Source organism: Homo sapiens, chromosome 8 (genome assembly GCF_000001405.40).
Source record: "Homo sapiens chromosome 8, GRCh38.p14 Primary Assembly".
Lineage (NCBI taxonomy): Eukaryota > Metazoa > Chordata > Mammalia > Primates > Hominidae > Homo > Homo sapiens.
Genome location: NC_000008.11, coordinates 32542376 through 32557530, shown reverse-complemented (window position 1 = coordinate 32557530; position 15155 = coordinate 32542376). Strand labels below are relative to the sequence as shown.

Sequence of the window (15155 nt, the reverse complement as noted above, 5' to 3'; positions counted from 1 at the left end):
GATCTACCATCTCATGGGCTTCAAGACAGACCCCTCTCTTTTGTTACTTATTTTTAAACAACTGAAACAACAGAATGGAAAAGGAATACTATAATTTTAAACAATAAAATGTTGTGCATAATCCCAATACTGTACTTCCATTTCACCCTGTTGGCAGAAAAGAGATAAAATACCAAAAGATATAAAAACAGATTTGATACGTACACACAAAAACAATGCCTACTTGCTGGGCGCAGTGGCTCATGCCTGTAATCCCAGCACTTTGGGAGGCCGAGGTGGGTTAATCACAAGGTCAGGAGATCGAGACCATCCTGGCTAACACAGTGAAACACCGTCTCTACTAAAAATACGAAAAAAATTAGCTGGGTGTGGTGGCAGGCGCCTGTAGTCTCAGCTACTTGGGAGGCTGAGGCAGGAGAATGGCATGAACCCAGTGGGGGGAGCTTGCAGTGAGCTGAGATCGCACCACTGCACTCCAGCCTGGGTGACAGAGCAAGACTTAGTCTCAAAAAAAACCAAAAACCAAAAAACAAAAACCAATGCCTACTTGATACACAAATGAAAAATTGTGTTAACTTACTATACGTAATAACACACGTTACTTGTTTTGACAAAAATATCACTGCAAATTGGAATTTTGACATCTCCTTGTAAAGGCTGGTTTTAGATTCCCTGTGGGATTGCTAAAGAGACTGTGCTATCCTTTAAAAATGCAATGTAAGTCTCTAAAATTGGGAGATTATATGCAACAAAGGGATGAGTTATAAACATATACAGTTTTAAAAACTGGCTATATCGAAATTTGAACTTTATTTATAAAATAGGCCATCTAATAATGAGATGCATTTTCACCTGATGATAAAATTCATACATTAAAACTACTAAAAAGCTTGCATTGATGTAGTACTGTGAAAGTGAACAAAAGGTTTTCTTTTCCTTTTTTCATATTACTCCATAACTAAAGCCAGGATTATTCAGCAATCTTCCATATTTCCTACTCATTGCTCTGTAATCTCTCTGTAGAAATAATGGTGGTTAAGATAAGGTGCAATAACAACTATCTGCTAATAGGTCAAATAAAAATGAGTCATATTTTATGGTGGAAACTTACTACTTTTCTCACCAAGGGAAAATGCTAGTTGCTCTGTCATTCTAATTTTATGCTAAATTCATTTAATATGGATATGATTTTAGCTGATTTATTGGTTGTAAAAAATGTTACTGCTTCAATTATCCCTAGCTCAGATTTCTTTTATGTATTACTTCAATCCTATTTAATTATCAAAAACGTACATAATTCTTTTTCAAAGTTGTCATTATTACTTAAAGAATATGTAAAGAATAAGTAAAGTCAAATTACTTTTTCAAAGTCCAAATATTAAACTGTATGACATGGACAATATTCAGCCAGGTATGACCTACAAAACTGACAATTTCATATGATTCAATCTAATAAAACATTCTGTGACTCTCATATCATTGAAAGTAAAACTCCACAGCTGCCCAGAGAAGGCAGCTCCCTGCCCATCAAAGCTGTGGAATGAAAGGTTCGGGGCACTGTGGCAGTCAAAGACTATTCCCATCAACGACAGATTTCTTGGAGCAAGAAACAATGGGAACAATATTACACTTTAAAAAGGGAAGGGGAGTAATATCCTGAGAGTAACTCATGTCAAAGATAACAAGTACAGGGTGGAATTAACATAAGCAGGTAAACCATAAATAACAAGGCCTGTGTGACCATATTAAAATATCAGCCCCGCCGGGCGCGGTGGCTCACGCCTGTAATCCCAGCACTTTGGGAGGCCAAGGCGGGCGGATCACGAGGTCAGGAGATGGAGACCATCCTGGCTAACACGGTGAAACCCCGTCTCTACTAGAAATACAAAAAATCAGCCGGGCGTGGTGGTGGGCGCCTGTAGTCCCAGCTACTCGGGAGGCTGAGGCAGGAGAATGGCGTGAACCCGGGAGGCGGAGCTTGCAGTGAGTCGAGATGGCACCACTGCACTCCAGCCTGGGTGACACAGTGAGACTCCGTCTCAAAAAAAGTACATAAATAAAATCAGCCCATGATCCACAAGAATTAGTCACTCAAACCTGTGTTCAAAAATGTGCACTCAATCAAAGTGGGGCTCCTAAACATTTGTTGCCCCTGGGTTGAGGAAACAGAGAGATAGGAAGAGATGAAAACAAATGTGTTAGTAAAGATCTGTTGTCCAACTTTGATGCTTTCACCTATAGTTTTCCAATGCCAGAGTGAAACTCTTAAATAGCACTAAATCTCTTTGTGGGTACCATGTGCACTTCAGTGGGAGGGAGCTGTTGTAAGGCGTGATTGGAAGGTATTTAAAGATGCTTGATTCTCTTGGGGGAAATTCCTAGAGGGAATTAATCTGACAGATGTCCCCTTGCAAGCTAACCACTGCATCAACATCATCAGAATAATGTTTTAAAATATTCTAATTTAGAATACTTAATGAATTAGGGCTATGTGGTCCAGCTGGAAAACAAACTCCAGTTGAGGCAGCTAACATGTATGGAATCGGGACTCTGTTCTTCCAGTAGATTGCCCAGAATACTGCAGTAACTTAAAAAAAAAAAGAGAGAGAGAGAGAAGAAAAAAGCAGTCTTTGGGGAATAGCAGTGTGATGCTCCTGGAGCACCCTCTGGAGGCCAGAAAAAGGTGACATGGGGCATAGGAAGAATGAAGAGAATTCTGATCATCTCTGCTCTTATGTAGAGGCAGAACTCCACAGATCTCACTTGACTTGGACTGAAAAATGCACTTTATCAGTCATAATCAGGGCAACATAAGAAAGTGCATATCTAATTTCTAGTTTAAAAATGCAAAAGAAATCTAATGTGTTAACGACATTCTCAAATAATTTTGTTTCCTAATTTTAAAAAATTAACATATTTTCTGCCTACATTCTGAATTCTTTTGGGAATTTACTGCAGAGGCTTTTTTAAAAAAATTTAGAAGAAAGATGAGAACATGGAATATTTTCCTTAATAAAATGTACTTTTGTAAACAGGGTTATATACAGTGAATTATTAGTCAATTGTTGAAAAGTAGCCAGCTTTATGTTTAGTAAAACCAAAAATAAATAAAGCTGTCCATTTCTTCTTTTTTTCTAACACCTCACTTTTTCTAAAGCGACAAACACTGACATCTATTGGTATTTTGGTAGCTCGCTTTTTTTTTTAACCCATTAAAACATACACAAGGACACACACAAGTGCAGACATGCACAAAATTAGGAGAAATCCAAAATATCATTAGTTCCTTCAAGAAAACTTCATTGTATGTACCTTAGTGGCATATTTTTTATCTGGGTAAAAGAAATCCGTTTTCAAGCTAATACTATCTGATTTATTTTTTTGTTTTTTCTATTTGTCAAGAGGGGGAGCTCCAGGGTTAACTAAACTACCAGAAGTTCATTCATTTGCGTCTTTGAGCAAATAAAGTGACTCACCCAAAATACTGGCATTTGGTTTGTTTTCATCTATCCTAACAGAACATGATAAACTATCAGTACTGTTCAAATCCAATTTAACTTGTTACTTGGAGAATGCTAACAGAACATTGATTTGGTAAGAATCTATCACACTTCCAGAACTTTAAACACTACCTATAGCCATTCTAGGAAGGCTGAGGAGGAAATAAAAAACTAGAAATGTGAATTTAATATATTCCTTATTTTGTTTATATTTAGAAACACCTGCACTCAATTCTATGAACATTGCTGGCAATATACTGTTATGCTTGATAAAAAGATAGTGAGGGGCAGGTTGGTGCACACTTTTGTTTTTCAATTGCTGCAATTTATACGAGTCCCAAAAGAGAAGATTATGTATTCTATACAATAAAGTGAGGTTTAAGCATCAACTCTTAAGTGTTGCCAGAAAAAAGAGTCATGTTTCAAAATCTTCTCATAGCTTGAAACCTCAACATTTTTCTGCCAGAGATAAAATTATGTTGCACCTCACTCTACTTTCAATATTTAGATTGAGTTCAGTACTGTTTTCATAATGTATATATGCAGTTATGGAATTTGACACTCTTATCCACTTTTCTCTAGTTTTACAGGTAGTACATATTAATATTTATAACCACTGTAATCTGAGGTCAGCTTTGGATATTTTTTACCATAAAAGGTAAATTTTGGAAATTATATCAAATATCTTTGCAAAGACACAGATAATTCATTTCTTAAGTAGTTTTATAAAGACAGCTAATATTACTGGGCACTTATTACATGTTGGTTGATGTTCAGAGTGCTTTTCATGGATTATTTCCTTTAAGCTTCATGAAACCCTCATGATAATAATAATAGTATTATTATCCCCATATTGCAGAAAAAGGAAATTTAGGCACAGAAAGATTAAGTAACTTTCCCATGACTACATATTTAAGGAACAGCCTAATTAGGATTTAAACCCAGGCAATCTGGCTGAAGAGCTAAGGACTAGGCCATCTGGCATCTTGCTGCCTAATAGCAAGGAATTTTCTTATTTTCGAAAGGACGGATGACAAAATACACAATATACATCTGTTTTACTGCCTGGAACATGGTAAGAATTCAATAAATAGCAGGTCCCTCATTAATAAACATAAAAGTGTCCAGCACAGTGCCTGGCATGTAGTAGGTATTCAGTGTTCATGTTTGTCTAATATTTTTTGGTTCTCTATATATATTTTTTCTCCTCTTTTTCATTAGTGTTATCTGACCATTTCATGGGTATGAGAAGTATTCATGTCTGAATATACAACTTTCTTCCGCTCTTCCTGCTATTTTAATTCTGCAAAATAAGTCCTATTTCATTCTGTGAATAATCTTTAATGTTTTTAATAATTACATAGGCTAGGTGGTTACAAGTAACCAGGTTGAAACAGATCACTGGACATTCCTCTTGTTCTGTAAACACAGGCTGCCCCGTTAGGGTCAGGGTACTTTATACGCAAGAATGTTTACAAGCACTTCAGCCTGCAGAGCCACTTAGTGAGGGAAACAGGTGGGTGATGTCATTGGGGAAACACACAGCCTGCTTCTACCTATTTGGGATACTAGGTTTCTCAATGTTTCCATCACCCAGACTCACAAATGCCCCTCCTACCAGGAGTGAAGGGAGACAGGATAGTTCTAGAATCTGGCTAGGCATGATAGTGAATTTTTCCCAGGTTATTTAAGAGGAAAAAGAAAAAAGACAGAATTCCGTGCAGAGGTGCAGAGTAAGAACAACATATCGACAGAGAATCACAAAGGAAGCTTAGAGTCAAATACCAATTGGCCAAAAATTAAAAAAAAAAAAAAAAAAAGCGGCCAAGCGCCGTGGCTCATGCCCGTAATCCCAGCACTTTGGGAGGCCGAGGCATGTGGATTGCGAGGTCAAGAGATCGACACCATCCTGGCCAACATGGTGAAACCCTGTCTCTACTAAAAATACAAAAATTAGCTGGGCATGGTGGCGCACACCTGTAGTCCCAGCTACTCAAAAGTCTGAGGCAGGGGAATCACTTGAACCCAGGAGGCAGAGGTTGCAGTGAGCCGAGATTGCACCCACTGCACTCCAGCCTGGCGACAGAGCGAGACTCCGTCAAAAAAAAAAAAAAAAAAAAGCTCTGGTTTTGTAATTCAGGCTTCAAGAGAAAAAGTCTGTTGAGCTGAATCAGTATGAAGAGGCTGGATATGGGAGGTCCAGCACCAAGGAGACCCAGGCTGTTACAGGGCTCTTGGTACGTGGATCAGTGATACAGCACCCAAGACTATTCTTAGCTTGCTTATTTTGAGCAAAGAAAAGGAATCAATGACTCCAAGGGCTTGGGACCTATTAGAGCTATTATTATGGAATAGATAATTGTGTTGAACATCTGCAGCCCCAATAGTGTGCAATTCAACATTTAGTTAATTGTATAAAAGTGCAGATGCTCTGAAATAGCCATGTATGTATCGCATATCAGTCACTCATGCCATATGAAAGTTAAAGAAGCCTTTTCCCCCTGAAAATTTCCCTCCAACAGATGTGTTTATGCCTATGCGTACAATATAGCACACAGCGGGGCTGAGTGGCTGAGATCCCACCCCATTATCTCTCCCCTGACTGTCATGAGGCAATGTTAAAACAGCTGAAGAGAGGCTTGGCTATTGCATACATATCATCAAGGACAGACAGTTGCAGTGGCTGTTTTAAGAAAGGAGTGAAACTTGGAACTGACAGGCACTAAGATGGGAGCAATACAAGAGAAACTTGTCCTCCTAAGTCCTAATTTGGGCTGGCACGGCAAGTGTGAATACTAGAGTTATGGCATCTATAGGTCGTTCCTTTGGGAATGCCTGAAACCTAGAGTGTGGGTTTTTCTCACAAACCATTATAGTCATCAGGTATGAATTCTCCTAAGACAAGGAAAACTACACTGGCACTTACCATTATAAGGAAAATGACAAAGAAGGAAAGAAACACTGATTCTGAAGCATTGTATTTAATGCCATGTGCTTCTATATAAAGCTGGTTTCAAGTTGTTGACCATTCTTTCTGAATCAAATAAAGAATACATATTCTTATCTGGTTTAAAAAGCACAAGATGCTTCGAAGGGGGTAAAAAGTCCCTCCCCAAAAAAGATTATAATCTGGTGGAAAACAGAGACAAATATACTAAAAACTAACCTACAGCCAAATTCACCCCAATTTTTCAGGGAAGACAGTTAAGCAAATGTCACTTAAAGATACTGACTTAGCTGGTTTACAGGGAATCACTGCTGTACCACTGGAAAGCAGATGAGAGCCACCAAGGAAGCTCTGGTGCTCTGTGTCAAGAGAGCGTAGCTAATCACAAGACAGCTGCCTACCTAGTAGATGAGATCTGGAGGGCACAGAAATGCCTGCCCCTCCCCCACTGAACTTGTCAAGTTGCTGTGTTACGGTACTGCTGCTGGGAGCCCTTGACAAAATGCACACCTATTACCTGAACAGGATGCTACTTCAGACCGCTGGCCCCTTCTTAATTCATTAGACCATCTACAGAGGACCACAGAAACTTCTTCTGAAGCCAATGAGCAGGGAGACAGGAGAACACAACCACAAACAGTGATAAGAGCCCCCAAAATAACTCTTTACAACGATTTGAGCTAGGTCTGAAATCTCCGTAATGTACTATGATGACCTTAGAAAGGACAGTAGACAAAGTCACGCAGGGAGGTAACTAATCCAGCTCCCCAATTTCCTATCTTGTTGAATAAAGTGCTATGGTCTCTCCCCAAAATATAGGGTAAAAATAAGGGAAAATTCAATACACCCTCATGAGGGGCAATGATCAGTAATTGAAGTGAATATGATCAGCAGGATCTTATTAAAGAAGCAAGCACAAGAATGGCCAGTGGTGAAACAATTACTCTCTGTTCAATTTCTGTTTTGCTCAAAACTCTGCTGAAGGTCTCTGCCAATAACCCAGGTTCTGAAATGCTATCAGTGATACCAGTAAGAAGACCAAGCAAATGTGGTTTGTTTTCTTCCAGCAAGGGACAAATACTTCTACAGTATTACTGTAGCCACAGTATTATCAAGTACTAGTGAATTAATTCTGCAGAAGTGCTTCATGAAATGTGTGTTGGGGGTACGCTCGAAGCGACTTAAGGCATCTGGATCAATTAATAATTGGGAATTGCAGAGGCAAAAAATAAATTCTCCCCCATCTCCTTCCTCCCCTCTTTTATCAGCTACCTACCAATCACTCATAAACAAGTATTTATTCGACATGCCTCTTTTGTCCAAGGTAATGTCCAAAGCATCAGCGCTTCCTAGGGACATCTAAGGTAAAGCTTTTGTTCATGCTCGTGTTCTGATGATGAAATACAAGATTTGTTTCTAGAAAGCTTCAATTGCCATTTTATTATATAGATAACCAGCAAACAATTGGGTTCAAAAATTCAGATAAACGGTTGTTTTCTTACATCTCTTGGGAAAGTAAATTATCCATATTTATCACAGAGGTCTTGAAAAATAGAACTGTTAAGCCAAAAGTTTGTAGAACTTGTTTGGGGCAGAGCTGATTCCTGACACTGGACTAGATTTCATCTGCTTCGCTGACCTTTAGGAATCCCTGCCGCTGCTCTTGAGTCTCCGTAGCACAGGACTGAATCAAGATGAACCGGCGCGCACTCTACATCGCTTGCCCTGTGCCCCAAAACGCCGAAGCTAACTTCCCACGCGGCCTCTTGCTCGACCACCCACTTCTGCGCTGCCAGGCACACCGAGGGGACCGGCTCTCCCTCCAGGCGGCCCATTCCAGCGTTTCCCGCTAGAGGGCACACGGCCCCCGTGCAAAGCGCTTATGGCGCGGGGCACGCGCGCACGCAGCCTCGACTCCTATAGCCCAGGTCCCACTCCCGGGCTGGGCTCAGCCGCTAAGGCGCTGGGGAGGGGCCGTGCCAGGGAGCGAAGCGCTCCCGGGACTCTGGGAGGGTGCGGCCGGGACTGCTGTCCCTTGCCCTGAGCTCTGGGCGTAGGCGCCCGGTAGGACTCGGCGCCCAGGTGAGCGGCGGCCCCCAGGAGGGGAAGCACCGCGCGACTCAACGGGCGCTCAGAGCGCAGGGCGAAGAGGACGGGCGAGGGAGAGGGGGAGGGAGAGGCCACGGCATCCGAGGAGGAGGAGGAGTAGGAGGAGCAGGAGGAGGATCGTGGGGCCCGGGCCGCGCTGCGCACCCACCTGGGCTCTGGCTGCCCGCCGCGGACTCCGGCTTCTTGCCGGAGCCTCGCTCCTTCTTCTTGCCCTTCCCTTTGCCTCTGCCTTCTTTGCGCTCGGACATCTCGCCGGAGACGGAGCGCTCTACGCGGACGGCTCTCGGCGCAGGCGAGTTTGGTCCAAGGGCTCGGATCGGGTTTGGGAAAAGTTTGTCCCTCGAGGGGGAGAGCGAGCGGCCGCGCTGAGGCGCTCGCGCTGCGCGGGGGCGTCTCCCGTTGCCTGCAGGGAGCGCGGCGCGGACGCGGCGGGCGGTCCGGCCACCTGGAACGGGCGCTCGCCCTGGCTCTCGGGGCTGCTCCTGTCGCCCCGGGAAGTCGTCGATGGGTCCCACCGCTGGCGGCTCGCGTCCTGGCCTCTGCCCGGCGCCCTCGCAACCCGATCGGGGAGAGGTTATCACCGTCCTGCTCACGCTCCCATCGTCCGGCAGCCGCCGCCGCTCAGCTCCTGGCCTCCGCGCGAGCCCGGAGTTCCAACAAGTTTCGGGGAACTCCTCGCCGGCTCTTTTTCAATTGCCCCGCAGCCACCCACCTCCCGCCCGCAGGTTGGAGGCAGGCGCCTCCTTCGCACCCTCCCCTGGCCTCGCCCCCTCCCTCTTCCCCACCACACCCCCACCCCGAGGCGCGGACACGCCACCGGGAGGAGCCTGGGCTCGGCGCTCCCGGGCGCAGCCCCTTTTCCTCCCGCGCTGGCCGGGCGGGGGGTGGCGGCGCGGCTGCCGGGAACCCCCGACAGGGGTCGCTGGACGCTGCGCGGAGACCGAGGCCAGCGCCCCGGAGACCCGGGAACCCAGGCGGAGACCCGAGGCTCTCGCTGCCCGCTCCCCTCCGCAGCCAGGCAGCGCCTGGGAGGGCTGCTCCGTCCCATTCCACGCGGAAAAGGACGGCGCAGAGAAAAGTTTGCGACTCCCACACCTGTGCCCCAAGCAGAGTCTCCGTGGTCAGGAACCCTGGGAGGGGTGCGGGGGGAACGTTGGTGGCTTTCCCAGAAGAGTTCGGGGTTCATTCCTTAACTCACTTAAGTACAAAAGCCCTGTCGCACGCAGGCGAAAATAAACTCTAGGTGGAAGGGAGTTTAAGATAAGGCTTCCTTCCAGGTGCACAGGAAGGGCTAAGCGAACCTTAAAGATGCTAGGTTGCGCTCTCCTGCTGGGTCTGCGCCGTGTGCGTGTGTGTGTGTGTGTGTGTGTGTGTGTGTGTGTGTTTAGTAAGTGCCTGTTAGAAATCTTCAGCTTTTCCTTAAAAAATAACCTGGCCTCTTCTAAGGGGGTGCCCTTAAACTACGTCTCTTACTACAACTTAATTTTCAGAGGAACTGATAAAAAACATAGTTCGGAGCACGACTCAGAATAATTAAAATTACTGCAGCCGCTGAAAGTCACTCAGTTCTGCCGAGTGGAAAAGCAGGCAGGGAGGGGTAGAATAAAGACACAGAACTGGAGATCCTTAATTCGTGAATGTGGGGTTTCTCAGATTCAAACTTTACTCAGAACTGCGCGTGAAACCTACTCCTTCCCTTGTCCTCCCTCTGGTGGAGAATTCTAAAGAGCAAGGAAATAAGAAGGCATTGACCCCTCCCCTGCAAAGGACAAAAGTTAAAGACCAGGGTAACGGGCACCACGGAAGGATCCAGAATTGTCTACATGTAGAGAAAACATTCTCAGAGTTATACCACAGCTGTGGTTAACTTAGACTCTTAATTTACAGTGAAATACTCTTGTGTTGTGGTCGGGAAGTGGTGAGTTGGAACAATCCATATTCAAAATCTATTGCTTCACTTTAAAAGTGACTTGCTCTTGGTTTTCCATTTTCTGGGGTCAATGCTAACTGAACCATTACCTACACACTACCTTCTCACGGTATTTTCTGATGGCCGCAATTTAAATAAAAGTGCAGTCTGGAGTGTCTCCTTGATATGTAGATGGGAAGGGAGGGAGGGAAATATGTTCACTTTAAAACTGTCCTAAAATCACACTAATTTTATTCTAGTTTAATTTGCACTGTCATAAGAACGAAACTCTGTTGAATGGGTTTAACTGTGGAAAGATATCCTAGCAGTCTTGCCATCATTATTTATAGTTTAAAAGTTTGATGTCCAAGTAGCTTCTGATAGCCTTCCTACAAACACCAAATATAAATTTCACTGGGCTATAAAGACAGCAAAAGCAGAGAAAAGATGATGAATATATCTCAGTAGCACTATTAATATTCCACAGAGACGTATGCAAGATGGAGTCTGAACACTGGCTGAAATAACTCTGTTTTCCCAGGAGGGGGCCACTGCTCAGTAAGCAGGAAATAGCAAAATTCAGAGAAGTCCTTTCAAAACAGATATTTTGTCCCAAGGATGTGAGACAGCATAAGGGCTTAGTATACACTACCACATATTCTCTAACATGGCATTATGTTAGAATTGAAGGACTGAAAGCAAAGATGTATTCTGGGATTCTTTTTTAAAAAATAAGATTTTCCCCAATTAAAAAAAAGAAGCTCAAAATCCATTTCTATGGAAATGTTGTAATTCTGCTACTTTTGTTTAGGGTCTGGATGTTTTGCTTCAACAAAACAGCTTACTGGTCATTTTTAGAGTAATTTTTCAGTGAGATAGGGGAAGAGCCTACGATTTTGTGATACATTTTCATTTGAATGAACCTGAAGAGGTAGTTGACAGTCTTCCAAAATTAAGCATACATGACTACAAAAGAGATTACAGATACTATGGTGGCTTTAAGATAAAACGTAAAAGCAGGATTCCTACAGGAATTTTAGGGCTGAGGAATGAATGAATATGAAGGGAGGGAGGTGAGTATAAATGAGCATTTAATAATTGTTTTTCCTTGGTTTGATGTGATGGAGGGGAAAAGACAGGACAAAAATTGCAATGATAAATATTGAAGGGACTTTAAGGAAAGATGATGAAATGGCAATTGCATGACAACAATCCTTTCTGGAACCATATCCAGATTCTCGAGTTACATTTTAGTTATCACTTGTAGCTGAATTCTCAGGAAATTCAAGGCTCAGTCCAAAAAGGTTTTTTTCTAAAAATCGTTAGGTCTTTATGTTATTTAATGTTAATTTTAAGGGGTTTTATTACATTATTTATGGCCAGCTAAAAGATTAACCAAATAAATGTCCATTTCTTGGACAGTTAAAACATTTATGAGATTTATCAAGAATTTGATATTGTCCTTAAATTATTCATCTCTGTGGTCAGGAGTAGCAAATGAATTTCTTTTGCATTTGTAAAAAACCTTGGAACTGACCAGAACAAGGGATGGAGAAAAGAGGAAGAATATTTTTGCTTTAAAAAAAAAACCCAATTGTATAATTTAGAAATGATGACATATCTTAATGGTTTAATTTTATTAATTTGTGTATTGTTCAGGTCTTAGATCATGTATTATATAGGGTATATCAGCTCCCAGGTAAATTGTCAACATAACTCCTGATAAAAAGAGTACAGATTTTAAAAAATAAACACCTTGGGCATTAAAGAAATGCAAAATTTAGATCTCACATTAAATGACAGCGTAAGAGAAACGCAATCGTGTGCCACTACATTTTTCCTTGGCTAGACTTAACTTTTAGAAGGACTCTTAGAATCTACAAAGCTGGCTGAATATATCCTCTCAGTAAATCCCATTTGGGAAATACTCCAAGAAAAGTTTTAAAACATGGAAAAATTAAAGAAGACTAACAAGACAAATTGCATTTTTGGCAAAATATTATGCATGTTGACAGTAATGGGACTTTAGAATTCTGCAAATAGTCACTTTTAACTTTTTTAAATCAAGTAACTTAAGATAATGTAAACAAAGATTACTTTTTTAAAAACTGCAACAAAGTTGACATTAATGAAGATGCATGAATGCAAAGAAAATCTCACTCAGCAGAGTCAACTTCAAAACAACCACTAAATGTATATGATTCATTCATTCACCAAGCATTTACTGAACTAAGTGATAGACAGGCCGGGCATGGTGGCTCATGCCTGTAATTCTTACACTTTCAGAGGCTGAGATGAGTGGATTGCTTGAGCCCAGGAGTTCAAGACCAGCCTGGGCAACATGAGGAAATCCTGTCTCTACAAAAAAAAAAAAAAAAAAAAAAAAGATACAAAAATTAGCCAGGTGTAGTGGTGCTCCCCTGTAGTCCCAGCTACTGGGAGGTTGAGGTGGGAGGATCACCTGAGCCCTGGGAGGTTGAGGCTGCAGTAAGCCATAAATGTGCCACTGCACTCCAGCCTGGGTGACAGTGAGACCCTGTCTCATAACAATAAATAAATAAATAAATAAATAAATAAATAAATAAATAAATAATAAGCTAGGCAGTAGAGAAACAAATAAAATACTGTCTCTGATCTCATGAACCTAAAATATTGTGAGAAAGGCATAAAAACAAATTAAATATGACAATACAATATGAAAAACAAGGCCAGATGAGTTTTCTGGAAATGAAGCTCATAAAATTTGGGGGATCTTTTAAAAGAAAAATACTGCAAAATTAAACTTACAAATTTAGGTAATAAGAAATTAAATAGGCTCTTGCAAGTCAGAGTCCCTGAAGAGTAAGCTTCCTTAGCTTATGGTAAATTCACTTTTAGTGATTCCAAGCATATTCCAACATCTGCACCATAATTACAGCAATGGTACTTGACAATTGTATACTATTTTGGAGATTAAATAATACTGTTACATAATATCACTATAAATAGGAGACATTAACAAGCAATCAAAAGGAATACACACAAAACTGAGATAAGCAAAGACCATCCTATGAGGGAGGAAATTGAGGTGAAAGGAGGCTTAATAATTCACAGATTTGCGATTGTCCTGTGTGTTCAGTTAGACTCTTAGCATCAACATGCATGTTGAGTTTATTAGGCAAAGCACTTCTGACCAGCAAGACACTCTGGCAAAACTAGAAGTGGTACCCTCCATTTGGCAAATATTTAATAGAATTACTAATTAGTCATTGTCTGCTGTAAAGACAGTTTTATGATAAAATTATGAGCTTAGAATTCAAAGAAAAATGCTAAAAGGCAATGTTCAAACAACATTAAAATCAAATCTATGTTTATGTTTTTCTGCTTGTGTGACTTTTAAAAATTACTACATACTAATGATTACTATTATTTATCATTACTATTAATAAGATTACTGTCAGGATTGTAGTGTCATGACTGATATCATGGATTAAAATTGTTAATACTGCTAAATACTATTGCTGAATTTCTTCTTCTGGCCCTGATAAACAGGGCCAACGTCATACATTTCTTCTGTAATAAGGCAGATATATAAGACAATCATTTTTGAAAACATTTGAATTTCTTATAAGAAGAATACCATCCCACACAACTTTTCAGTTATTTTTTCTGACCTCTGCATTATTTATCCTCCTCAGTCCCCTGGCAATGCACCCTTAATTTAGATGTGTATATGATGCAAATATATATATACTTATATATGCATATGTGTACATACATATATACATATGTAGACATACATGTGTATACATCTGTTTATTTGTGTGTCAATATATATGTATCTGGGTATATAATTTCTCATTCCCTTTACTGGAAATGGAAAGCATTGTCTGTATTTGAATATAAGCCTATAAAAGGCAGAGATTATATAACCTTGTATCCATTTATTTTATATTTCTATCCATTAGAATTCCTAACTGTACTTTGCATCTGGTAAGCACTAAATACTTTGGATAGAATGAACCTAAATAGAACAGAATGAAGATAAAAAGCCTAGTTCAGTGATTACCATTTTCTATCAATCAATGACTAATTACCTACTGTGACAATCATTTTGACACCTTCTTTCTGTGGCCCACCCATCCCCAAGTCCTGTCATTTTGACTTCAGTCTTCTTTTATGCCTCTTCACTAAGTACCACCCCAATCCAAGTCTTCATCCTTTTTTGTTTTGACTGTAATAAAGCTTTCCACCTGGACTATTGCTTCACCCAATTATCTTGCCACATACTGTAGTCAGAAGAGTCTTTTTGAAATGCAAATTTAATCCAGTCACTTTTTGCTTCCCAGGAGTCTATCCAGTGCCCTTGAAGAAGGAGGCTGTGGGTCACCCCAGCCTTATCTCCCTTTGCTTCCTGCACAAAGGCCTCCTTGCACCATGCCTGCATAGCTTGCATCCTTTGCAGCCTTAGAGCCTTTGCACTAGCTATATCCTCTGCCTGAATTTTCCCACAACCACCACACTTTGCCTAATTCCACTTAACATTCAGGCTTCAAGGGAAATTCAGTTGCTTGGAAAAGCTTTTCCTTACCTTTGTACACTGTTTCATCCCATCCTGTTTTAACCTCTCTTTACACTTTTTGGTGAATGAATAAATATTACTTTCATATGTAAGACTATACATACAGAAGTGTGTGTGTACTTAGGTTTA

General features: G+C 41.2%; 1 protein-coding gene across 22 annotated transcripts in view; it reads right to left on the bottom strand.

Moving 5' to 3' along the window:
• Positions 1 to 15155, bottom strand: part of NRG1 (neuregulin 1) — a 1134802-nt gene that overhangs the window by 216516 nt on the left and 903131 nt on the right. For 12 of the 22 annotated variants that reach the window (NM_013960.5, NM_013964.5, NM_013956.5 and 9 more), the window contains exon 1: positions 8705 to 9220. The exons of the other annotated variants lie outside the window; for them this stretch is intronic. In NM_013960.5, the coding sequence (NP_039254.1) occupies positions 8705 to 8804 (100 nt within the window). In that variant the 5' untranslated portion in view covers positions 8805 to 9220. Of the gene's footprint in view, positions 1 to 8704; positions 9221 to 15155 lie in introns of those variants that run through there. 22 annotated transcript variants of the gene reach the window in all.